Below are 24,690 nucleotides of genomic sequence, written 5' to 3' on the forward strand. Positions count from 1 at the left end.
ATGATTTCAGTTATTTTTCATTTGCTGAGGAGTGTTTTTCTTCCTAATTTATGATTAGTTTTAGGGTAAGTGTCATGTGGCTATGAGAAGAATGTATATTCGCTTGTTTTTTGTTGGAGAGTTCTGTAGATAACTATCATGTCTACTTGATCCACAGCTGAGTTCAGGTCCTGAATATCTTTGTTAATTTTCTGTCTCCATGATGTGTCTAATATTGTCATTGTGGTGTTAAAGTCTCCCACTATTATTGTGTGGGAGTCTAAGTCTCTTTGAAGGTCTCCAATAACTTGCTTTATGGACCTGGGTGCTCTTGTATAGGGTGCATATATATTTAGGATAGTTAACTCTTCTGGTTGAATTGAACCCTTTACCAACAGGTAGTGCTCTTCTTTCTCTTTTTTGATCTTTGTTAATTTAAAGTCTGTTTTGTTAGAAACTAGGATTGCAAGCTCTGTTTTTTTCTGCTTTCTGTTTGCTTGGTAAATTTTCCTCCATCCCTTTATTTTTAGCCTATGTGTTTCTTTGTGTGTGAGATGGGTCTCTTGAATACAGCATACTGATGGGTCTTGGTTCTTTATCTAGCTTGCCATTCTGTGTCTTTCATTGGAGAACACATTGAGATTTAAGGTTAGTAGTATTATATGTGGATTTGATCTCATCATCATGATGCTAGCTGGTTATTTTGCTAACTTGTTTATGTGGTTGCTTCACAGTGTCACTGTTGTTTGTACTTTAGTGTGTTTTTCTGGTGCCTGGTAATGGTTTTTCCTTTTCATATTTACTGCTTCCTTCAGGAGCTCTTGCAAGACAGGTCTGGTAGTAACAAGTTCCCTCAGCATTTGCTTGTCTGAAAAGCATCTTATTTATCCTTTGCTTATGAAGCTTGGTTTGGCCAGATGTGAAATTCTGGGTTGGAAATTCTTTTCTTTAAGAATGTTGAATATTGGTTCCCAGTATCTTCTGACTTGTAGGGTTTCCACTGAGAGGTCGGCTGTTCATCTGATGGGGTTCCCTTTGTAGGTGACCTGGCCTTTCTGTCTGACTGCCCTTAACATTTTTTCTTTCATTTAGAGTTTGGAGAATCTGATGATTATGTGTCTCGGGGATGATCTCCTCGTGGAGTATCTCACTGGAGTTCTCTGGATTTCTTGAATTTGAGTGTTGGCCTGTCTTGCTAGAACTAACTTGGGGAAGTTAGTTCTCTTGGATCCTATGCTGAAGTATGTTTTCCAACTTGGTTCCATTCTCCTTGTCTTTTTCAGGTACCCCAATCCATCATAGATTCGTTCTCTTTATGTAATCCCATATTTTTTGATGGTATCGTTTGTTCCTTTTCATTGTTTTATCTCTATTCTTGTCTGCCTGTCTTATTTCAGAAAGATCGTCTTCAAGCTCTGAGATTCTTTTCTTGGCCTATTCTGCTGTTAGTAATTGTGATTTCATTGTGAAGTTCTTGTAGTGTGTTTTTCAGCTCTAACAGGTGAGTTATGTTTTTCTCTAGACCGGCTATTTTGGCTGTCCGCTCCTGTACTGTTTTGTCATGATTCTTAGTTTCTTTGCATTGGGTTACAAGATGCTCCTTTAGGTCATTGAAGTTCACTGTTATTCACATTCTGAAGCCTACTCTGTCATTTCAGCCATCTCAGGCTCAACCCAGTTCTGAGCCCTTGCTGGAGAGGTGTTGCAGGGATACTCTGGCTTTTTGAGTCCTCAGGATTTTGGGGTTATTTCTCATCTCTGTGGGTCTATCTTAAACTTTGACCTTGAGGATGGGGTTTTTGTGGCTTTTTAAATTGTTATTGTTGTTGTTTCCTGCTTGTTTTTCTTTTAACAGTCTGGCCACTCTTCTGCAGGGCTGCTGCAGTTTGCTGGGGGTTCGCACTATACCCTAGTTGCCTCGGTTTTTCCCATAGCTGGAGGTATCATCAGTGAAGTCTGTGAAACAGCAAAGATGGCTGCCTGCCACTTCCTCTGGAAGCTCCATCCCAGCAGGGTACTGACCTATTGCTGGCTCGAAAGTGCCTGTAGGAGGTGGCTGGATACCCCAGTTGGGAGGTCTCCTCCAGTCAGGAGAAATGGGATAAGGGACCTGCTTAAAGAATGATTCTGGCTACTTTTTGGTAGACCAGCTGTGCTGTGTTGGGGATCCCTTTAGTTCCCATTCAGTTTGGGCTGTCCAAAGGCCCACAGGCTGAACTGGCTGAGAAGCTTGAAAGGCCTAGGTGGCAGCCTGCCCCACCCCTCAGGCACTCCATCCCGGGAAGAAATTAGAGCTCTGTTAGCCCCATAGAACATGAGTGACCTACAATTTTGATTTGCCCTTTTACTGGTGATGTTGGCATTGATCACAAACAGTGGTGTCTGCTAGCTTTCTCCTCTGTAATGTTACTTTTTCACCTTGTAATTAATTAATATTAATATTTTGTGGGGAGGTAATTTGAGACTATGTAGATATCTCTGTTCTTCATCAAACTCAATTTATTCATTTACTTGATTTGATATTTACTTGTGGTTTATTTCATTTAATAGGTTATAATTTGACAATTTTTTTTAACAATTTTTTTCTTTTTAGAAATGTTTTATTTTAACAATTTTAGACTTATAGAAAAATAGTAAGAAAACTACAAAACATTCTTGGATACTATTCCCCAAATGTGAACATTTTACTGTATTTGCTTTATCCTTTCTCCCCCTTTTCCTCTTCTCTTTCTAGGTAAATATAAATGTAGGTGCATAATATAGACTTTTTCTGAATGGTTTATAAGTTGCAGGTATGATGCCTCTTTATTTCTAAATAATTTTATGTGTGTCTCCTAAAAACAAGGCATTATCTTGCATAATTATAGTATAACTATCAAAATCAGGAAATTAAAAATGGTTTACTGTTACTATCTCATCCATAAACCTTATTTTACTTTTTTCAGTTGTCTCAATAATATTTTTTATAGCCAAATAATTTAAGATGGGTGATGTTACAATCCATGATGTTGACTTTCATAATCCATGATGTTGAGAGGTTTCAGCATTTTTACGTTGATTCTTCCTCATCTCTGTGGGCCTATGTACCTTTGATGTTTGAGGTTGCTGACCTTTGGAGGAGTCGATCTGTGTCAAATTATTCTGTCTTTTTAGTCTCTTTTAGTCCAGGATGATTCCTGAGTCTTTCCTTGATTTTCATGGCATTTATGTGTTTGAAGAGTATGGGTCAGTTTTTTGTGGATTTTCTCTCAGTTTGGGTTCATAGGATATTTCTTCATGATTCAGTTCAGGTTATACCATTCAGGCAGGAAGGTCACACAAGTGAGGCTAAGTTCTTCCCAATGCAGCATATCTGGAGGCATATGCTGTTACTTGGCTCCATTACTGGCCAGTGTTGACTTTGTTTGAGAATCTACCAGGTCTGTCCATGATAAAGTGACTGTCTACCCTTTGTTTTTCACCAATGTCTTATGTGAGCATAGTTTGAGGCTCTGTAAATATCTGGTTACTCTAAACATCTCACCCACTAGATTTAGCATTTCATTGATTATTTTTGTTGGGTCAATTATTATTATGGTGGTTGCCAAGTCATGATTGTCTTCATCTTTCATTCCTTCTACGTGGATAAGTAAAACAAAACAAAACCAACCAACAAATAGGGGAGAAGGGAAAATTTATTGTTTTGCTGTTCAGGTTCCCTCCGCTTTGACCAGTGGTAGCCATTTCAAGCTGAGTTCATGTCTTTTTGAACTGTCCTTATTGTTCTTTGAATACTTCCTTACTTTCTGGCATAAGCTGTTTCAACCATACTTTGTATTTTCTCTGCCCCAGCCCTTGAATCAGCCATTTTCATTTTTTTCCAGAAGCCCTGACTTTCTTTAGGGGACAGTAATTAGAAACCAATATCTGGGCAGTAATTGTGGTAGATACGTATGGCTATTGGAGTTGTCATTGCTCATAGGCTTCCTCAGTGAACAGAGCAGAAAAATACAGCTAGATGGATAAATATACAAACATACATGCTTATATTCATCGATATTTCTATATTAGAATATACTGAAAACCATGAGTTCTTCCTGGTGATTCTAATTCCAGTTGAATCACACATGGCTCATTTTAGTTTTTTTTCCCTTTCAGTACTCTTGACCTTTGAACAATGTGGAAGTTAGAGGGGCTGAACCCCACACAGCCGAAAATTTGCCTAAATTTTGACTTCCCTGTAATGTAACTGCTGACTGACCTGATTAACTATTGTTGACCAGAAACCTTACCCATAACAAAGTTGATTAATATATATGCTGTATATTCTATGTATTATACACTATATTCTTATAAAAGTAAGCTAGAATTGCCTTAGCTATTCCAGCTGTTTTGGGGTTCGATATAAATTTTAAAATAGTTTATCCTAATTCTGTGAAGAATGTCATTGGTGGTTTGGTAGCTGACTTCAAACTATACTACAAACCTGCAGTAACAGAAATAGCATGGTACTGTTACAACAGCAGACACATATACCAATGGAACAGAATAGAGAGCTAAGAAATAATGCAGCACACCTACAACCATCCAACCTTCAACAACTCCACTTAAAAAAAGCAATGGGGAAAGCAATGGGACTGCTGGATCAAATGGCAATTCTAAGTTCTTTGAGAAATCGCCAAACTGCTTTCCGCAATGACTAAACAAGTTTAAATTCCCACCAGAAGTGCATAAACGTCCCCTTTTCTCTACAACCTTGCCAGCTTCTGTTAGTTTTTGACCTTTTAATAATAGTCATTCTGACTGGTGTGAGATGGTGTCTCACTGTGGTTTTGATTTGCATTTCTCTAATGATTAGTGAGTTTGAGCTTTTTTTTCATAGCCTTGTTGGCCACATGTTATGTCTTCTTTTGAAAAGTATCTGTTCATGTCCTTTGCCCACTTTTGATGGGGTTGTTTGTTTTTTTTCTTGTAAATTTAAGTTCCTTGCAGATGCTGGATATTAGACCTTTGTCAGATGGCTAGGTTGCAAATATTTTCTCCCTTTCTGTGAGCTGTTTACTCTGTTGATAGTTTCTTTTGCCGTAAAGAAGCTCTTTAGTTTAATTAGGTCCCATTTGCCAATTTTTGTTTTTCTTGCAATTACTTTTGGCATCTTTGTCATGAAGATCATTTCCAGGTCCTATGTCTGCAATGGTATTTCCTAGGTTATCGTCCAAGGTTTTAATATGTTTTCATTTTAGATTTAAGTTTTTAATCCTGCCTTTGCCTCCCAAAGTGCTGGGATTACAAGCGTGAGCTACCACACCCAGCGAGGAAGCCAAGTTTAACGTGTGTGCTCCACTCCTCCAACCTGGCCAAAGGGCAGTCATCATCACTGGCCACTACTGACCACAGCCTTTAGAAACTCCCCTTGAACGTGCTGGGCTGACCTTCCTCTGATCACAGGCAAGGTAACCATACACTCAAGGCCAATGATCCCATCTGCTGTGGGCTGGGTCATGCTCCCAATGCTTACAGAACCTGGGAGGCAGAGGAAAACTCTGCCCATCCCATGGGACGTTACCTGTAAGCTTTGAACACCAGAATCTTGAGGCCTATCTCTTTCTGGAAGGCTTTGTCTTCCTCTAAACCAGGAAGCTGGAGCAATTCCACCAGATTCTGTACAACAGATGCAACAAGAAAATTCATGAAGAGTAGATCTTAGGTTGAATTTTTCACAGAAGACCTTGTAAGAACAGAAAATGGTGAGAAAAAAAAACCCCGAGGTCAATACAATGGGGAAAAGCCTGTGAAGTGACCTGGCAGCAGCCACACCTGCTGTCACCTCCATTCCCCTCTCATCTTGGAAACAGATTTGCCCTTTACAACTCAACTCATAGCTCACCCGCCTTCAGAGACTTCTTGGCCCATCTTAGCTGGAAGGGATCTGTTCCAGCGCTGAGCTTTTATTTTGCTTAGCATCTACTCAGATGCCTTGACTGTGTGTGTCTCACAGTCCTACTGACTGACAAACTCCCTGGGGGCCGAGATGGCATGGATTCAGGTCTCAGATGCTCTATGGCACCTGGGAGCATCTTACACAGGTGAAGTGCTCAGTGATGATCTGGGGTCACTATTCTCTGCAGATCAGCATGTCTGAGAGGTAGGGGCTCACAGACTGTGGAACTGGTGTAAGACCTTTGTCTTTTCCCAGCTACTAACAGGTCCTGCTTGTCACAGCCCTTCCATGATACAAAGTTAAGTCATTTTGTGTCTGACACAGGCAAAGGAAAATGACAGGCCCTTGCCTTCCCGGTCCTCAAGGGTCAGCTGTAAGATGATGTCATAAAGCCGGATCAGGTCCTGGGGCCGGGGGAAGCACTTGCTGTCATCCTCTGGCTGCTGCTGCAGCAGAGCCCTCTGCAGACCTTTGGCCATGCTCTCATTACGCTTGATTGCCATTGACAGCTTGATGTAAGTCAGGTAGGTGGAATGCACCACACGTCAGCTCAAGTTATACTCAGAGAAGCAGAGGAACTGGGAGGACTGCACTACGAGTTGGGGCTGACCCAGAGGAAGTCGGGGGTGAGTTGGGGCAAGGCCACAGCAGGGCCATTTGGCCTGGGCTTCAAGGGACCCTGTAATCCCAACTACTTGGCAGGCTGAGGCAGGAGAATCACTTGAATCCGGGAGGTGGAGGTTTCAGTGAGCCGAGATAGTGCCACTTCACTGCAGCCTGGGCGACAAGAGTGAAACTCCGTCTCAAAGAAAACTAAAATAGGCTGGGTGCAGTGACTCATGCCTGTAATCCCAGCACTTTGGGAGGCCGAGATGGGTGGATCACCTGAGGCTGGGAGTTCAAGACCAGCCTGACCAACATGGAGAAACCCCATCTCTACTAAAAATACAAAATTAGCTGGGCGTGGTGGCTCATGCCTGTAATCCCAGCTACTCAGGAGGCTGAGGCAGGAGAACTGCTTGAACCTGAGAGGCGGAGGTTGTAGTGAGCTGGGATTGCTCCATTGCACTCCAGCCTGGGCAACAAGAGCGAACCTCCGTCTCAAAAAATAAATAAATAAATAAAATAAATACATAAAATAAATAAATACATAAATAAAATAGATATGTATTTATGCAAACCATAGAAAAATGTTTGGCAACCATCGCAAGATACCTGACAATGTGAAATAGTTTTATTACAACTGGCCTGACCTTCAAAGGCCTTCACAGCTCCTGCCTTCATGTTACCGTCTACTATGTTCCTCGTGCACCTTCCACTCAGCACAAACAGGCTGCACTGCCTCCGAAACACATCACTGGAACCCTGCCTCTGCTCCTTTGTCCATCTGAATCACCCTCTCCACATTTCTGACCCTGTAATCCTGATCTCACTTCATGAGGCAGTTCGCTTCTCTTTTGCATTTAGCTTTCCCCGGGGTACACTGTCAATAGCCTACTGTCTGATGTCATCAGTCAGCACTTCATCAGAGGCAATTATGTCCACAGAGCTTTTGGCTAATTACTGTCACTCCTCTTTACATGTGTGCATATGCATATCATCTTTCCCTAATGAGACTGGAAATCATGATTCATTCCCTGGAGCAGTGGTTTCCATAAGTGACCAACCCACAGACCAGTGCAAACTGGCTGCAAAAGAGCTTCCTCTGAGGAACTTATTAGAATGCAGATTCTTTGACTGCATGGGAGAGGAGGATCTCATAAATCTGGGTGTAATAGGCACAGAACGTTAGGTGTAATATGGGCGGGACTCTGGACTCAGCATATCCAACAAGCTGCTGGCTGATTCCGATGATGCCGATGAATTGCCAGGTTGGGAACTGCTGCCCCCAGAGAACCTAGCAGAGAGCTCTGTACGTGGTAGGTGCTCACTCCCCTATTGTTTGGGTGTATGCCTCCTGATAATGAACTTGATCGTAACATTATTGTTGCATTATGCCTGTATTGTTTCCTTAGGTGAAGGAAGAATGCTTTTGAGTACCTAATAGGTGGCAAGCTCTGTGCCTACTTACATACATGAACTATTCCTTTTAATAACCTTTGGAAATAAAGTGGCATTTCCATTGGGCATTAGAAATCTGAAGACTTTCGTTTACAGCTGTTGCAACAGCAGAACTAGAATTCGACCTCCGACATTTCTGCTCACCAGAGGGCATGAACTGCTGGTTTGTACCTGGCTTGCAGATACCTTCTTTGGGCAGCACAATGTTCAAAATTAAAAAAACTACCAACACTTCTAAACTGGATACTTTGTATCAATATCTGGGTTTCTGGCTTCTCTTCATGGGAAACAAACAAACAAAAAAAAAGGTTTGGTGAACAATGGGGCCCACATTCCTGCAGGGCAACAGTCACATGGAGACTTTAGATGGGCACGTGCCCAGAACACACTAGAGTCCCCATCGCTCCCCATTCTCTTACATTCTGTTCCCAACTAGGTTCTTATAGGCCTGGGTTTGTGCCTGTTGCACACTTATCTACTCTCTTGCTTCCCACTGGTCAGGAAGTCTGGCAAACTTAAAAGGCCTCTTTTTGTTGCTCTCTCCTGTATGGATCTCTCATCATAGAGGTGTGTGCATTTCTGACTTTGTGATTTCAATACTAAGGAAGCTGTCGGCACATTATCAAGGAAAACGGGGATCGCTGCTCCCCAACGTACACATTCTGGTGTGCCCCAGTAAAATTCTATATTCAGCCTCCAAACTAGCTGGGAAAAATGTGGCAAATCATCTACTTGCTCCAATTCAATAGTGTTTAGAAGTAAGAAGTCACTGTGAGCAATGCCACCAAGTGGTGGAGAGACTCCATGCAGAATCGCCACCTTCAGCCAGAGAGGCTGGGAGGCCGAAGACCTCTCTCAATGCACAGGGCCATTCAGAAACTAGAAACAAAATGCTTGCTCATCTCCCTAGGCCACTCCTTCCGAGGCTTTTTGAGACAAAGTCTCACTGTCACCCAGGCCGGAGTGCAGTGGCACAATCAAGGCTCACTGCAACCTCAACCTTCTGGGTTCAAGCGATCCTCCCACTTCAGCCTTTCGAGTAGCTGGGATGACTACAGGCATGGGCCACCACACCCAGCTGATTTTTTTTTTTTCTTTTTAGTAGAAATGAGGTCTCGCCATATTGCTCAGACTGGTCTTGAACCAACACATCTTTAGCTTTTTAAAAGACAGCCTTGGCCAGCCATGGCAGCTCACACTTGTAATCACTGCACTTTGGGAAGCTGAGGTGGGCAGATAGCTTGAGCCGAGGAGTTCAAGACCAGCCTGGGCAACATGGTGAAACCCCATCTCTACAAAAAATACAAAAATTAGCTGAGTGTGATGGTGCACATCTGTGGTCCCAGCTACTGGGGAGGCTGAGGTGGGAGGATTGCTTGAGCCTGGGAGGTCGAGGCTGCAGTGAGCTGTGATTACCTCACTGCATTCCGGCCTGGGCAACAGAGACCCTGTCTCTATTTAAAAAAAAAAAAAGAAAGAAAGAAACCTAAAAACAGACTGGCACTTAAAAGAGTTGTGCTTCATTTTTTGACTTTCTGTATTAATTTTGTCTGTTCCTTTCCTTAAACAAGCTGCCACTGCTGCTGATTCAACATGTTTCATTTTATACTTTTTTTTTTTTTTTCAGACAGAGTTTCGCTCTTATTGCCCAGGCTGCAGTGCAATGGCATGACCTCGGCTCACTGCAACCTCTGCCTCCCAGGTTCAAGCAATTCTCCTGCCTCAGCCTCCCAAGTAGCTGGGTTTACAGGCATGCACCACCACACCCGGCTATTTTGTATTTTTAGTAGAGACGGGGTTTCTCCATGTTGGTCAGGCTGGTCTGGAACTCTCAACCTTAGGTGATCTGCCTGCCTTGGCCTTCCAAAGTGCTGGGATTACAGGCGTAAGCTACTGGGCCTGGCCCATTTTATACATTTTTAATGTGTATTCTTGTTTTTGGAAAATGTGACCAGAGGACTATTAAACTCTTTTAGCATCAGTATAGCAAGGAGGTAAAAAAACAAACAACAAAACAAACAAAAAAAACCCATTTTGTAAAATAGGATTGAGTATCGTTGGATTGAGCACTTACCAAGCAACTGTGCCAGGCATTTGCGTCCTTCATTTAATTCTTACAAGCCTGAGTGTTCGGTATTTTAATTTTATAGGTGAACAAATAGAAGCTGAGGGTGAAGGACCTACAGCTGTCACCTTCATCTCTTCTCAACACTGCCAACTGTCCCCTTGGATTTCCCAGACAGACAACAAGGGACATCTCTGGTTTCTCGGTGCCCCCTAGAAACCTCGGGTCATTTCAAGGCATTATGCAAATGAGAAGCTTTCCTTCTCTTCACCTCATCTCCTGATCTGCACAAAAGTGACTGTAGGACCCAGTGTAGGTACCGATGTAGGCACCAATCCTCAGTTTACCACCTGCTCTCTACTTGCTTCCCTGCCATAACTTTCTAAAAGGGATGTGAGCCATGTTTAAAGTCACCTGGTCACTGGAGGGATCTTGTTCTACCCCCTGTAGTAGTACCTCTGTAGGGTAGTACCCACTGTAGGGATCTTGTTCTACATCAGTGGTTGCCAACCTTTTTGGCACCAGGGACTGGTGTTGTGGAAGACAATTTTCCACGGACTGGGGGGCTGGGGGGAATGGTTTCAGGATAAAACTGTTCCACCTTAAATCATCAGGCATTAGATTCTCATAAGGAGGGCACAACCTAGATTGCTAGCATGCGCAGTTCACAATAGGGTTCGTTCTCCTGCGAGAATGGCATGCCGCTGCTGATCTAACAGGAGGCAGAGCTCAGGCGGTAATGGGAGCAAGGGGGAGCGGCTATAAATACAGCTCACCACTCACCTGCTGCTGTGCAGCCCGGTTCCTAACAGGCCATGGACGGTGCTGGTCTGTAGCCCAGGAGTTGGGGAATCCTGCTCTACAGAGTTTCCAACCTCAGAGATGAAGCATCCCCTCTGTAAGTCAGAAAGAAATTATTCAAGTAGGAGAATTAAAACAGGATCACAGAGAGGGAGGCTGAAGGATTTGACATTCTGTGTTTACTTGTATGAGGAAAAACAGCACATAGAGGCATCCACAGTATTTAATTTGTTTGGATAACAGTTACAGATAAACAGGTACACCCCATATACAATTACCAATACTTTTTATACAGTTCATATTTCAGTACATCAACACTATTTTATTTACACTCTATTTATATACATTAACATCTTTTTAAATTGGAATTATTGTCCATATGTTTTATATTTTTTATTCCAGTGATTTCCCTTTTAGGAATTTATCTGAGGGGAGAATACTCTGTAATTACTCCATAATTTGCAGGCAAATATCATCATAGCATTTTTTAGGAGAGTAAAAAGTTATTAACAACTTATATTTGTCTCACATTAGAGGAGTGGTTAAATAAAGCATGGTGTATTCATTGGATAAACTATAATGCAGTTGTTGAAAATGATTACCAGGAGTTTTTGCTAACATTTATGGGAACATGCTTATGATATGTGAACATTTTTTTAAAAACAAGACATAAAGTTGCATATACTGGAAATAATACCTTCAATATTGAAAAAAATACTATTTAGGAAAAAGGACAGAAGAAAATCTGCCAAAATGTTGACAGTGGTTGCCTTTGTATTAAGAATATAAAAGGATTCCCTGCCTTTTTACATTTTTCTCTGCTTTCCAAAATTTCCACATGAATATTATACCTAGTAATCAGAAAAAAATACAGGGACACTCACTCTTATCCTTTACATTTCTCTCCTGTTTGGACCTCAGATTCCTCAGTAGAAAATTAAACTAGATGCCAGCCTGGGCAATATGATGTCACTCTGTCTTTACAAAAAATGCACAAATTAGCCAGGTGTGGTGTTGTGCACCTATAGTCCCAGCTGCTTGGGAGGCTGAGGTTGGAGGATTGCTTGAGCCCAAGAAATCAAGGCTGCAGTGAGCTGTGATCTCGCCACTGCACTCTAGCCTGGGTAACAAAGCAAGACCCTGTCTCACAAAAAAAAAAGAAAAAAAAAAGAAAAAAAGAAAATTAAACTAGACAAATTCTTAGGCCTCTTTTTTTTTTTTAATAGTCTTATATGAAGACTATTACTTCATTTCCTGTGTTTTGTGTTAAGATGAGCTTTAAAGCAACTCTGAAAAAGAAGAGGGTGCGTATAAGTAATTCATAGACTGTTTAAACAATAGTAGAGGATCTAAGCATAGATCCCAAGAGGTAAAGGGAATCTTTATCACTTTGGGAACTTTTACTGATAAATAGAAATTACTGTCAGTACAGTCCACAAATATGTTGTTTATCAGCCATCTTTCCTCCCTGTCTTCCTCTAGCACTGTAGCCTGTGTTCCACAGAAAATATAGTCAATAAAATTCAACATTCTTTACTAGCTTACTCTAATTTGTGGTTGGCCGTAAAGTATTCCTGGTAGAGATAATAGAGATAATATTTAACTGGCCATGAGAAAGGAAACACTATCGTATATGATACACCCCTTTTTCTACTCATTCCAACAACGATGATACAGCACGTTTCCTTTTGAAGCACGTGTTTTTTCCTTGAGTGACCAGTTCAAAAGATGATGACAGTTAATATCTTGTTACTACAGAATTTGTACTCAAAAAAGAAGTCTATAACCCAAGTCCAAGCCAGATTTCCTTTTCTAAAAAAAGAATTTTCCTCTAAGTTCCCCTTTTTAAATGAGCTCTTTAGCCTGGGTAATTATGCAGTGCTAGAACCGTAACTGCATGATCAAACCCAACCTTGCTTGTTTATAACAGCATTTGACAGCCTCGTGACTCTCACATAGGGAAAAAGTCTCGCCTGAAAACCCATGCTAAGCTGCGTGTCTTGAGCTGTGCCAATTTGTATTCCAGGCAGCCTAAGGTTCCCATCGTGAGTTTCAGGAAGGGAAATTCATGGAGGAAGTTCACCTCTGGAAGGGTGAGGAGCAATAAATAGGGTGGGTGATGGACATATGTGACGTTTGCCACAGAGAGGCCGTCAGTATGGGCCTTGTGGTCCGGGCTCTGCTTTGGGACACAAATATAAACTGTGTGAAGTCTTATGGTAGCATTCATAACCCTGATGCTTCACCCACCTTCCCATACATTAGAGGGACAAACAGAAGGATCCCAGCTCTATGGTTCTTGATTGTTTGTCAGGTAGCAGCCAGGCATGGAGAGGGAAAAATTCTTTCTTTTCTGCTGCACTCTAGATCCTTCCTTCTCTCCTCCTTCTTCATTCTACACCACCCCCAACACATATCCCTGCACCCCGCCCATTCTTTGCTCTCTCTCCTTTCTTACACTTAACTCCTTCTTGCTCCACAGCCTAACATGCTGATTAACAGGACCCCAAAGGTTTGGGTGGGTATTAGGGGCCTTCTCAACAAAAGCAGCACACTCTTGAGCTTGTTCTTCCTTTTGTTGCCATCTCAGATAAAAAGGCCCCATGAGGGAGGAGACAGATAAGTATAGACTTGGTATTCTGATAACTCTGTGTTACATGGGATCAGATGTAAATGAGTTGTACCCTGTGGTGTTTCGTGCTCTGCTGTGTTGTCTTCTCATGGTGAGCTTTTCTGTGCCCTTATTTCATCCAGCTCTGGTTTCTGTGTTTCATGTTATTTCTCCTAGCCTCTGTAAACTCTGCAGCATACTAATAATGCTCTGGCTTTCTGATTAAAGATAAATGGCTTACTATCATCACCCCTGGTTTGAGGGCCAGCTCACATGTAATCCCTTATAGGATTCCAAAGTTGTTAAATAAATGCAGTTCTTTTTGTCATTTTGAAGCATTCAAAAATTTTTCAAGAAAAGCTATGATCATATAAATAGAAATTTTATCCAGAATGTTACAATGTAACATTTGTGAATAAATGTGTAGGTGCTGTATTTGCTCAGACTCTAGTTTGGGTTGTGTTTTCTTTTCCCTTTTTTTTTTTGAGACAGGGTCTCTCTCTGTCATCTGGGCTGCAGTGCAGTGGCGTAATCACAGCTCACTGCAACCTCTACTCCCAGGCTCAAGCAATCCTCCTGAGTAGCTGGGACTAGAGACATGCGCCACAACGCCCAGCTCATTTTTAGGTTTTTCTTTCACATAGACAGGGTCTCACTCTGTTGGCCAGGCTGGTTTCGAACTCCTGGACTCAAGCAATGCCCCCCACCTCAGCCTCCTAAAGTGCTGGGATTACAGGCCTGAGCCACCATACCCAGCCAGTTATATTTTCTTTTTCCTTATATAGAGTAAAATAAGGGTGAGTGACCGAGAGGTTGATGCATAGCTAGATCACCAGTTTAAATGCCTTCCCACACACCCCTTTCCTCCTGTTCCCTCTACCTACAGGTTGTAGATGAGCATGAGAGTGTGGAGCAGAGTTGGCGAGTGCAAGTCGAGCCCATCAACCTGGACAGCTGTCTCCGTGCTTTCACCAGTGAGGAAGAGCTAGGGGAAGATGAGATGTACTACTGTTCCAAGTGTAAGACCCACTGCTTAGCAACAAAGAAGCTGGATCTCTGGAGGCTTCCACCCTTCCTGGTATGTTACAGTCCTGCCTCTGAGAGAGCAGGAATCTAGCATAAAAGAAAGAAGACATGAACAAACAGGAGGTTTTGTTATTTTTGAGAATAAGACTTTTCCTGCAGCAGTGTTTAAAACACTTTCTGTACAAGGTTTTTATGTTGAATACAGAGATGAATCTTTCTACAAATATTTGGTAGTTCCTTTTCCTAAAGAGCTTACAACCTAGAAGAAGAGCTCAATCATGTAGACCAGTAACTGCAATTCAGTGTGATGTGAGAACTGCCACAAGGGGTACAACGTGGTGAATTTGAACTTCAGGAGAGGGTGAACTTCTGGCTCTGTGGAGAGAGGAAGCTCAGGCTAGCCCTTTGTGGACTCTAGAAGAGCAACTGAGCCCGGAGCCCCCAACACCCACTGCACATAGTCATGTGGCTGTGGCACGCTGCTGAGTTGAGTGTGTGTGCACAAGCACGCCAGTGCACTAGGGCCTGTGTGTTCTTTTAGATTCAATTTACTTCTGCCTTCTCCCTTCATGGATTAGGAGACTGTCCTTTTGTTTGTCAGGAGAGTTTGAAGTGACAAATCTTCCTATTCATTAAGGTCAGTGTAACTGTAAGGTACTGGCCTATTTTAATCAGATATTTATATGTATTTTCTTTCTTTCTTTTTTTTTTTTTTTTTTTTGGAGACAGGGTCTCACTGTGTCACCCAGGCTGTAGTGCAGTGTTGTAATCTCAGCTCACCGCAACATCTACCTCTTGGGCTCAAGTGATTCTCTTGCCTCAGTCTCCTGAGTAGCTGAGATTACAGGCATGCACCACCACCACCTGGCTAATTTTTGTACTTTTAGTAGAGATGGGGTTTCACCATGTTGGCCAGGCTGGTCTCGAATTCCTGACCTCAGGTGAACCACCCACCTTGGCCTCCCAAAGTGCTGGAATTACAGGCATGAGCCACCATGCCCAGCCGTATTTTCTTACTCTAATCATGTCTCTGTCACACTACTCTGTGAAGCTGAATGTAAGTTTTTCTTGGACCAGAACAGCTTCCCAGGGAATGATGCACAAGAAATTAATAACACTGGTTGTCAGCTAGCTCCACAGATAGGAACTAGAGGGAAGGGGCAGGCTTGGGGACAAGGTGGGTGGGGAGGAGGGGGAGACCTTTTTTTTTTTTTTGAGATGGAATCTCGCTCTGTCGCCCAGGCTGGAGTGCAGTGGCAAGATCTCAGTTCACTGCAAGCCCCACCTCCCAGGTTCACACCATTCTCCTGCCTTAGCCCCCCGAGTAGCTGGGACTACAGGCGCCTACCACCACGCCTGACTAATTTTTTGTGTGTTTTTTATTTATTTTTTTTAGTAGAGACGAGGATTCACTGTGTTAGCCAGGATGGTCTCGATCTCCTGACCTCGTGATCCACCCACCTCGGCCTCCCAAAGTATGGGGATTACAGGTGTGAGCCACCACGCCTGGCCGAGGGGGAGACCTTTTAAAAAAATTGAGGTATAATTAACATACAATTAAAAGCATAGATTTTTAATATCCAGTTTGATGAATTTTAACAAGTATATATTTTCATATAATCATCAAATAAAACAAGCAGAGCAGTCATGTAGCCCAGTAACTGCAATTCAGTGTGATGTGAGAACTGCCACAAGGGGTACAACGTGGTGAATTTGAACTTCAGGAGAGGGTGAACTTCTGGCTCTGTGGAGAGTGGAAGCTCAGGCTAGCCCTTTGTGGACTCTAGAAGAGCAACTGAGCCTGGAGGCAATACCCATTGCGCAGTCAGGTGGCTGTGCCACACTGCTGAGTTGAGTGTGTGCACAAGCACGCCAGTGCATTGGGGCCTGTGTAGAGGCCTTTAGGAAACCATATTTTTGAAGTATTTAAAAAATAATGAAGAGCAAATGTTCTGTTATATATTCCCAAACATTCACATGTATTTGACTTGTTTTTTCCATGTAAATTTTGTATCTTCAGAACGCTTTAATGCGATGTTTTCTACCTTTACTTCTCCAGATTATTCACCTTAAGTGATTTCAATTTGTAAATGATCAGTGGATAAAATCACAGAAAATTGTCAAATTTCCTCGGGAAAGTTTTGATCCGAGTGCTTTTTTGGTACCACGAGACCCAGCTCTCTGCCAGCATCAACCACTCACACCCCAGGGGGATGAGCTCTCCAAGCCCAGGATTCTGGCAAGAGAGGTGAAGAAAGTGGATGTGCAGAGTTTGGCTGGGGAAGAGGACATGCTCCTGAGCAAAAGCCCATCCTCACTCAGCGCTAACATCAGCAGCAGCCCAAAAGGTGAGGCCTGGGGGCCTTATGCAGTTGCTTTCTTGGGACTCCTGTAGGCTACATATGTTTCTGTCTTCTGTTCTGGAACATCAGGTTGGTTGGGTGGAAGGAACCTATCTGGAATCAGACCTATCTGTATTTGAGCTATGTAAGTTTTATCAAGAGATTCAGCCTCCCTGAATCTATTTTCTCATCTGTAAAATGGAGATAATGCCAGGTTTACAGAGTTGAGAGTTTGACACATGGAGAGTAAAGCACTTCACACAGTGCCTGATGTATGGTAAACAGGAATGGTAGCTGCTGTCTTGTCCCCTTATAGTGAAAGTTCTGAGGTTCCCCATCTTTCAGGGGGTCTAGAGGATCAAAACTCTTTATTTATTTATTTATTTATTTATTTATTTATTTATTTTATTTTTTACTTTTTTGAGACAGGTTCTCACTCTGTCACCCAGGCTGGAGTGCAGTGGTGCAACACAGATCACAGCTCACTGCAGCCTCGACCTCCTGGGGTCAATCAATCCTCCCACCTCAGCCTCCTGAGTAGCTGGGACTACAGGCACGCACCACTGCACCTAGCTAATTTTTGTATTTTTTGTAGAGATGGTGCTTCACCATGTTTCCCAGGCTGGGCTCGAACTCCTGCACCCAAGTGAACCTCCTGCTTCGGCCTCCTAAACTGCTGGGATTACAGGTGTGAGCCACTGTGCCTGGCCCAAAACTATTTTCATAAAAATACTAAGACAATATGTGCCTTTTCGCTTTTATTCTCTCACAGATGTACAATGGTGTAAGAGACGACATGGAATAATATCGTCACTTTGACAGTGAAGTCTGTGCTAATGTATTGTACTTTTTCATGCCTCAGTTTTAGTTTCTAATACAGGAAATATTGATAGATAAAATTCATATAAAAGTTCTAAAGGTTCTCAATAATTTTTAAAGGTATAAAAGGGGGTAGGGGTAAGAGGCTATAACCAAAAAGTTTAAAGCCTTACAGGATTTTTGTGAGACATAGAGGTAACAGTGGACAGCAAGAAATTCCCAGTACCATGCCTAACAATAGGAAGTACTCAGTAAATGGTGGTTGCATTTTTTGTCTAATTTTACAAAGGAGAGGAATATGTATTTGGAAAACTCCTTACTCTTAATAATTAGATTTTTTTCAACTGAATCTGACATAAATCATCTTTCCGCTATTTTCTGAGTCCCTATAACCTACTTTACATTTTCAGGACATTGTTGCTTATAGGGACTCGGCATTGAAGAAGACAAAAATGTAACTTACTGGCCACACAATAGGAACTAAAGGGTAGCCAGTCACGACTCCCCTGTCTTTACCTTTGTGTGTACATTTGTGAAGCTAACCTCAGAGTTAGCATTTGGGGCTGGCTTACTTTGTGGCATTTGGATTTGTGAATCTTTTCTTCTGTCCTGTTCACAGGTTCTCCTTCTTCATCAAGAAAAAGTGGAACCAGCTGTCCCTCCAGCAAAAACAGCAGCCCTAATAGCAGCCCACGGACTTTGGGGAGGAGCAAAGGGAGGCTCCGGCTGCCCCAGATTGGCAGCAAAAATAAACTGTCAAGTAGTAAGAAGAACTTGGATGCCAGCAAAGAGAATGGGGCTGGGCAGATCTGTGAGCTGGCTGACGCCTTGAGCCGAGGGCATATGCGGTGGGGGCAGCCAACCAGAGCTGGTCACTCCTCAGGACCACGAGGTAGCTTTGGCCAATGGATTCCTTTATGAGCATGAAGCATGTGGCAATGGCTACAGCAATGGTCAGCTTGGAAACCACAGTGAAGAAGACAGCACTGATGACCAAAGAGAAGACACTCATATTAAGCCTATTTATAATCTATATGCAATTTCAGTAAGTGGTTTATTGTATGGTTTTCGGAGAGTGGTCTGTGTTTTGTTCACTTGTTTTCATGTATTCATCAGCAAGTATTTTTCAGGTCCTGCTTATTTCCTAGCATTGAGCTTAGTGATAGAGAAAGTTAACATAGAAATCTGGGCCTGCCCAGGTGTGGTGGCTCACACCTGTAATCCCAGCACTTTAGAAGGCTGAGGCAGAAGGATCGCTTGAGCCCAGGAGTTTGAGACCAGCCTGGGCCCCATCTCTACAAATAATTTTAAAATGGAGCGAGGTATGGTGGCATTGCCTGTGGTCCCAGCTACTTGGAAGGCTGAGGCAGAAGGATCACCTGAGCCCAGGAGGCCAAGTCTTTAGAGAGTTGTGATCACTCGACTGCACCCCAGCCTGGGTGATAGAGCAAGCCCCTGTCTCAAAATAATAATAATAATAGTAATTACATTATAAAATGATTGTTTATCCACACAAGACTTGGAGCTTATGACTTTTGTATTTTGCTTTTTGCTTATTTTGGTTTTAGAGAAAGTTAGAGGGTTCTAAAATATTTTCTCACCTACTGATCATTTACATGATCACTGTTCTCCTGCTCAGATCCTAGTGCTATACCCTGGCCATAGTACATAGTACAGTTAACAACTAACATACATCCACTCTCTTATCTCTTACAGTGCCATTCAGGAATTCTGAGTGGGGGCCGTTACGTCACTTATGCGAAAAACCCAAACTGCAAGTGGTACTGCTACAATGGCAGCATCTGTGAGGTAAACATTCTCAATCTTTGAATGAAGGTTAGAAACAGAATATCAACAGAACTGGGAAACATTTGTTGAAATAATAGACTATCTCTTGAATAGGAAATAGATATTTCTGTTAGAATCAATATATAGATGCTGTCAGTATTAAAGAAACAAAAGTGATATGCAGAGTAGGGAATGAAAACATGAGTAGTGAGGAAAAATAAAGAGTTAGTTGACTGGGCGCAGTGGCTCATGCCTGTAATCCCAGCACTTTGGGAGGCTGAGGCAGGCTTAGGAGGTGGATCACTTGATGTCAGGAGTTCAAGACCAGACTGGCCAACATGGTGAAACCCCATCTCTGCTAAAAATACAAAAATTAGTTGGGCATGTTGGCACATGCCTGTAATTCCAGCTACTCAGGAGGCTGAGGCAAGAGAATGGCTTGAACCTGGGAGGTGGAGGTTGCAGTGAGCCAAGACTGCACCACTGCACTCCAGCCTGGGCAACAGAGCAAGACTCCGTCTCAAAAAAAAAAAAAAAAAAAAAGGAGTTAGTTAATGCAAAAAGCTCCTATCTTCTAGACTGTTAGAATTTGATGGGGTTGGGCCAAGTGCAGTGGCTCACGCCTGTAATCCCAGCACTTTGGGAGGCCAAGGTGGGCAGATGATGAAGTCAGGAGATCGAGACCATCCTGGCTAATATGGTGAAAGCCCGTCTCTACTAAAAATACAAAAAATTAGCCAGGCGTGGTGGCACATGCCTATAGTCCCAGCTACTCAGGAGGCTGACGCAGGAGAATCACTTGAACCCAGGAGGCAGAGGTTGCAGTGAGCTGAGATCGTGCCAGTGCACACCAGCCTGGTGACAGAGCAAGACTCCTTCTCAAAAAAATAAATAAATACAAAATAAATAAATAGAATTTGATGGGGTTTTAGGTCATTCTCTTTTGACTTGTCTATGGTCAAAATATTTTCTCCAAAGCAAACTTTGGAAATAATGGGGCTCATTTTAAAGGGGCAGGTGTGAGACAGCCAAACTAGTGAGCTTATTGGAAGCAATCAGGTTTAGTAATTACAGAGGGTTGGTCTTCCCTTTCCTGGCAAGGATTTAGAGCCATAATAGTGATGGCTTTTTGTTAAAGGTTTTTCTTGCCCTTTCAGGAACGTCACCCTGATGAAATTGACACCGACTCTGCCTACATTCTTTTCTATGAGCAGCAGAGGATAGACTACGCACAATTTCTGCCAAAGATTGATGGCAAAAAGATGGCAGACACAAGCAGTATGGATGAAGACTTTGAGTCTGATTACAAAAAGTACTGTGTGTTACAGTAAAGCTACCACTCTGGCTGCTAGACAGCTTGGTTGGGAGGAAGATGACTCCTTGTAGCTGATACTTGGCAAAAGTGTCACTGAGAGGCAAGCTAAATGTAGTTATTTTATCCTGTTAGAATACAAATTCTAATTAAAATAGTTAACTTTAAGAGTAGCAGTAATTTTATTTTGAAGTCTCATGCAAGTTGTCCGATAGAGAACTTTCAGGCAGATCCCACCATTAGCCTGTAAACAAAAGGTTTGGCACCAGCCACCTGGGACCAAATAAGAATTCAATTGTGCTTGTCCAGATATGAACAAATATGTAGTGAGTATAGAGTTTATCAATAATCATAACAAATATTAAAGATTTCCTTGGAGTCAAAGTAAAAAACAAAAAATTGTAATGTTGTCTAGGGATGACATGATATGCTACCTCCTTTTTCCTGAAGTTTTATTCCATTCTGTTGACAAGATGGTGAAAGCAAGATCATGAAGGTGTGCAAATGATTCTTACGGCATGGGCGAGGATTTTTCAATTTATTTTTTAAAGTTTCCATACCCTTTCTTTGTCTTTCTTGCTTTTTGTTTTTGCCGTTGTGTTTAAGTTTGAGACACAACCAGTCATTGGTGGCAGGGGCATAGAGTGGTCAGTCTGAAAGGGAGGCTCTCTTAAGAGCTATGTGCCTTCTACTCAGAGGGAGACCCAGTAGAAAGAAAAACATCCTGGGAAATCCAGCTACCATGGCCCTCCCAGTGGAGGCATCTTACATTTAGGATACTTCAGGTATCCTCAGAAATGTATTCTGCACCCCCGGCCCCGCCCATGCTGAGGGAAGGGGAGCAGTTGCCAATATTTGCACCATCTTCACATGCACATGTTGCAACAAGAGCTTCTGGGAAGGTAAGCGGCATCGGAGCTAGATCACGTTTCACAATTAGTGGTGGTTCTTTTCCATGTTTATTTTGCACTTTAAAAAAGAGAGAACACATGCAAATGAACTTGCTTGTGTGTATTTGATGGCTCCAAGGGCTATGAATTACAAACAAAACACATCCCAGACATTAGGAGTTCATAAGTATATTTAATGAAATTGGTGGTTTTAGGAAGTCAACTTTAGTTTTGCTTTGTTTGCATGTCCACTAATTTTTTTATTTTGATATTAGTCTTTTTAAAAAAATTTTACAGTAGTCATTGAAAGTTATGTTTCTTTGTTTACTTCATTTTTTCCTCTAATTATTCAAGACTGGGACAAAAGTATAAATATTATTTATTTCAGGTAGAATTTTTTTCATGTAGTTTTTTAATATATACTTGAAGGAAATGTTTCACCTTATTTTTGGTCTTTGTTTATTCATTTAGACCCTGCAAGTTGATTCTCATTAATTGTCAGATTCCACTACACTTTCTTCCTCATAGGTAGTAATTACCAGTGTAACTAAGCATTTGTGTTCTGATATCTGAGGCCAGTAACTATTAATATCTAGTTCTCAGAGCATTTGGAAAGGTTATCTTAAATGGCTACCTAAATTGAAATCCTTTTCAGAAAAAATATAATTGCAAATAGGTAGGAGTGGCCTAAATTATCTAATGTAATAAAGTCAGACAAAATGCATACTTTATAGTTTCAAGATTTTCAGTATATAAAATCTGTCCTTTCCTACCTGGACATGTCCCATTAAAAAGTGGAAGATCTTAAATAATTTCTTTACAGATGTTTTATTTAAGCAGGTAGCACAATCTACTAATGTTGTTTGATCTGTGTTTGTTATACTGGTTGTAATTAATTTTTTTAATTCATGAACTAGCGGAAAATTTATTAAATTAACTATTAACCACATTCACCTTGTAAATGACTGTATAAAACTTGTTGACAATGCACTGACTTTAGAAAGATGTTAATGTGCATAAATAGAGTGTAAATAAAATAGTGTTGATGTACTGAAATATGAACTGTATAAAAAGTATTGGTAATTGTATATGGGGTGTACCTATTTATCTGTAACTGTTATCCAAACAAATTAAATACTGTGGATGCCTCTATGTACTGTTTTTCCTCATACAAGTAAACACAGAAAGTCAAATTCTTCAGCCTCCCTCTCTGTGATCCTGTTTTAATTCTCCTACTTGAATAATTTCTTTCTGACTTACAGAGGGGATGCTTCATCTCTGAGGTTGGAAACTCTGTAGAGCAGGATTCCCCAACTCCTGGGCTACAGACCAGCACCGTCCATGGCCTGTTAGGAACCGGGCTGCACAGCAGCAGGTGAGTGGTGAGCTGTATTTATAGCCGCTCCCCCTTGCTCCCATTACCGCCTGAGCTCTGCCTCCTGTTAGATCAGCAGCGGCATGCCATTCTCGCAGGAGAACGAACCCTATTGTGAACTGCGCATGCTAGCAATCTAGGTTGTGCCCTCCTTATGAGAATCTAATGCCTGATGATTTGAGGTGGAACAGTTTTATCCTGAAACCATTCCCCCCAGCCCCCCAGTCCGTGGAAAATTGTCTTCCACAGCACCAGTCCCGGGGGATGGTGAGCAGAGCGGTGCAATGGCCTGACCTACCAGGTAAAGGCTCCCTCTTGATCAGGATTTCTCAACCCGGCACTAGTGACACTTGGGGCAGGATCATTCCTTGTTACGGAGACTGTCCTATGCAGTGTGGGATGTTCAGCAGCACCCCCGACCTCTGCCTACAAGACGCCAGGAAGGACCCTCTGTCCAAGTCGTGACAAAGAAAAACATCCCCAGACCCTGCCAAATGTAACCTGGGGGGCAAAAACACCCACATTTGAGAACCATGGTTCTAGGATATAGGAGTGTGGACACAGGCAGCTCAGGTTTACACAGGCTGGATTTGAGGTGCCTGGGAGACCTGCTTGCTGAGATTCTTTTGAGCAGTCAGACAGGAGGGGCTGGAGCCCAGGAGAAAAGTCTGGGCAGCTTTGCTGTCTTCAGGCTCGGTGGCTGTTAGAAGGAATGTGGCAGAAAAAAAGAAAGCGATACCCAAAGAGTCTATTTCATTTAATTTAATTTTTTGAGCAAGGATTATGCTAAAGTCACCAGGCAAGAGACCAAGATGAGCCCACCTCACAAACCCAGAAACCTCAGATCCAAGGCAGCTGTATAAGGTACAGATCGTTCCGGACTGTAGAAGAGAGGGTTAATCCAACTTCATCAGGAGAGAAATGCCATTATCCACTGAACTATTTCTTGACTATCTCCTGTATGCTGGTCAGTTTCACTCACATTGTCTCATTTAATCTTTGACAAACTAAATAAAAGTGTGAAGTAAATATTTTCCCCTCCCTTTTTTTTTAAGATTAGAAAACAGAGGCTCAAAAGGACCCACGTACTCAGAGTCACCCTGTCAATGACAGAGGTGGAGTTTGAACACAGGCTGTTTAATGCCAAAGCCCAATACTGGCTTCTGGAAGCTTCTAGAAGGAGGGGCTGGAACCTCGCATTGAAGACGTTGAGGGGCAGTGTTGCAGGAAAATGGGAGAGGGAAACATACCAGGCAAAGGGAACTGCTTGGGCATGGCTTCGGCAGAGAACGAGGTACAGAGATTTGAGGACAGGATGATTTCTTGGAACACAGAGCTTGGTTCAGTAGAAAGAGCCCAGGAAAGCCAGGATGTGGCCAGTTGAAAGGGAGGGGCTTTGAGCCATTTTGCATTTGTGGTGAGCCATTTTGCATTTTACTCTATTGGCATCAAGGAGACAAGTAATGAGAACTCTGACTTGGGAAAAATGTTAAGGATCAATTTATCTCAAATATCACATGTAGCTCTTAAGTCTGAGGGCCCTCTATTCCTCATCTTACCTAAAAGGCACAAACACACCTCTCCAAGTCAGGTATAGGGCCCCCAACAATAGTTGCCTGGTCAAAAAATGTATCCTCAGAGTTGACTACTACTACAGTAAATCTGGACACAGTTTCTGAAAATTTTTGTTTCCCTAAAAGT

The 24,690-nt window shown here is 42.3% G+C and overlaps 1 long non-coding RNA gene and 2 pseudogenes across 2 annotated transcripts; 2 read left to right on the top strand and 1 right to left on the bottom strand.

The window, feature by feature from the left end:
- Positions 1-247: 247 nt before the first annotated feature.
- USP32P3 (ubiquitin specific peptidase 32 pseudogene 3) lies at positions 248-22,800 on the top strand (annotated as a pseudogene). Its single transcript, NR_146076.1, has 12 exons — positions 248-627; positions 1,072-1,220; positions 1,377-1,480; positions 1,835-1,993; positions 2,714-2,771; positions 5,237-5,411; positions 6,224-6,423; positions 14,324-14,515; positions 16,523-16,811; positions 18,244-18,669; positions 19,341-19,433; positions 20,570-22,800. The product of NR_146076.1 is annotated as a ubiquitin specific peptidase 32 pseudogene 3 (transcript).
- On the bottom strand, positions 5,523-6,427 carry SRP68P3 (signal recognition particle 68 pseudogene 3; annotated as a pseudogene).
- FAM106B (family with sequence similarity 106 member B) lies at positions 6,752-8,234 on the top strand. The gene has a single exon (NR_172097.1). It is a non-coding gene; the product is annotated as a family with sequence similarity 106 member B (long non-coding RNA).
- Positions 22,801-24,690: the final 1,890 nt, after the last annotated feature.

Source organism: Homo sapiens, chromosome 17 (genome assembly GCF_000001405.40).
Source record: "Homo sapiens chromosome 17, GRCh38.p14 Primary Assembly".
Taxonomy (NCBI): Eukaryota; Metazoa; Chordata; class Mammalia; order Primates; family Hominidae; genus Homo; species Homo sapiens.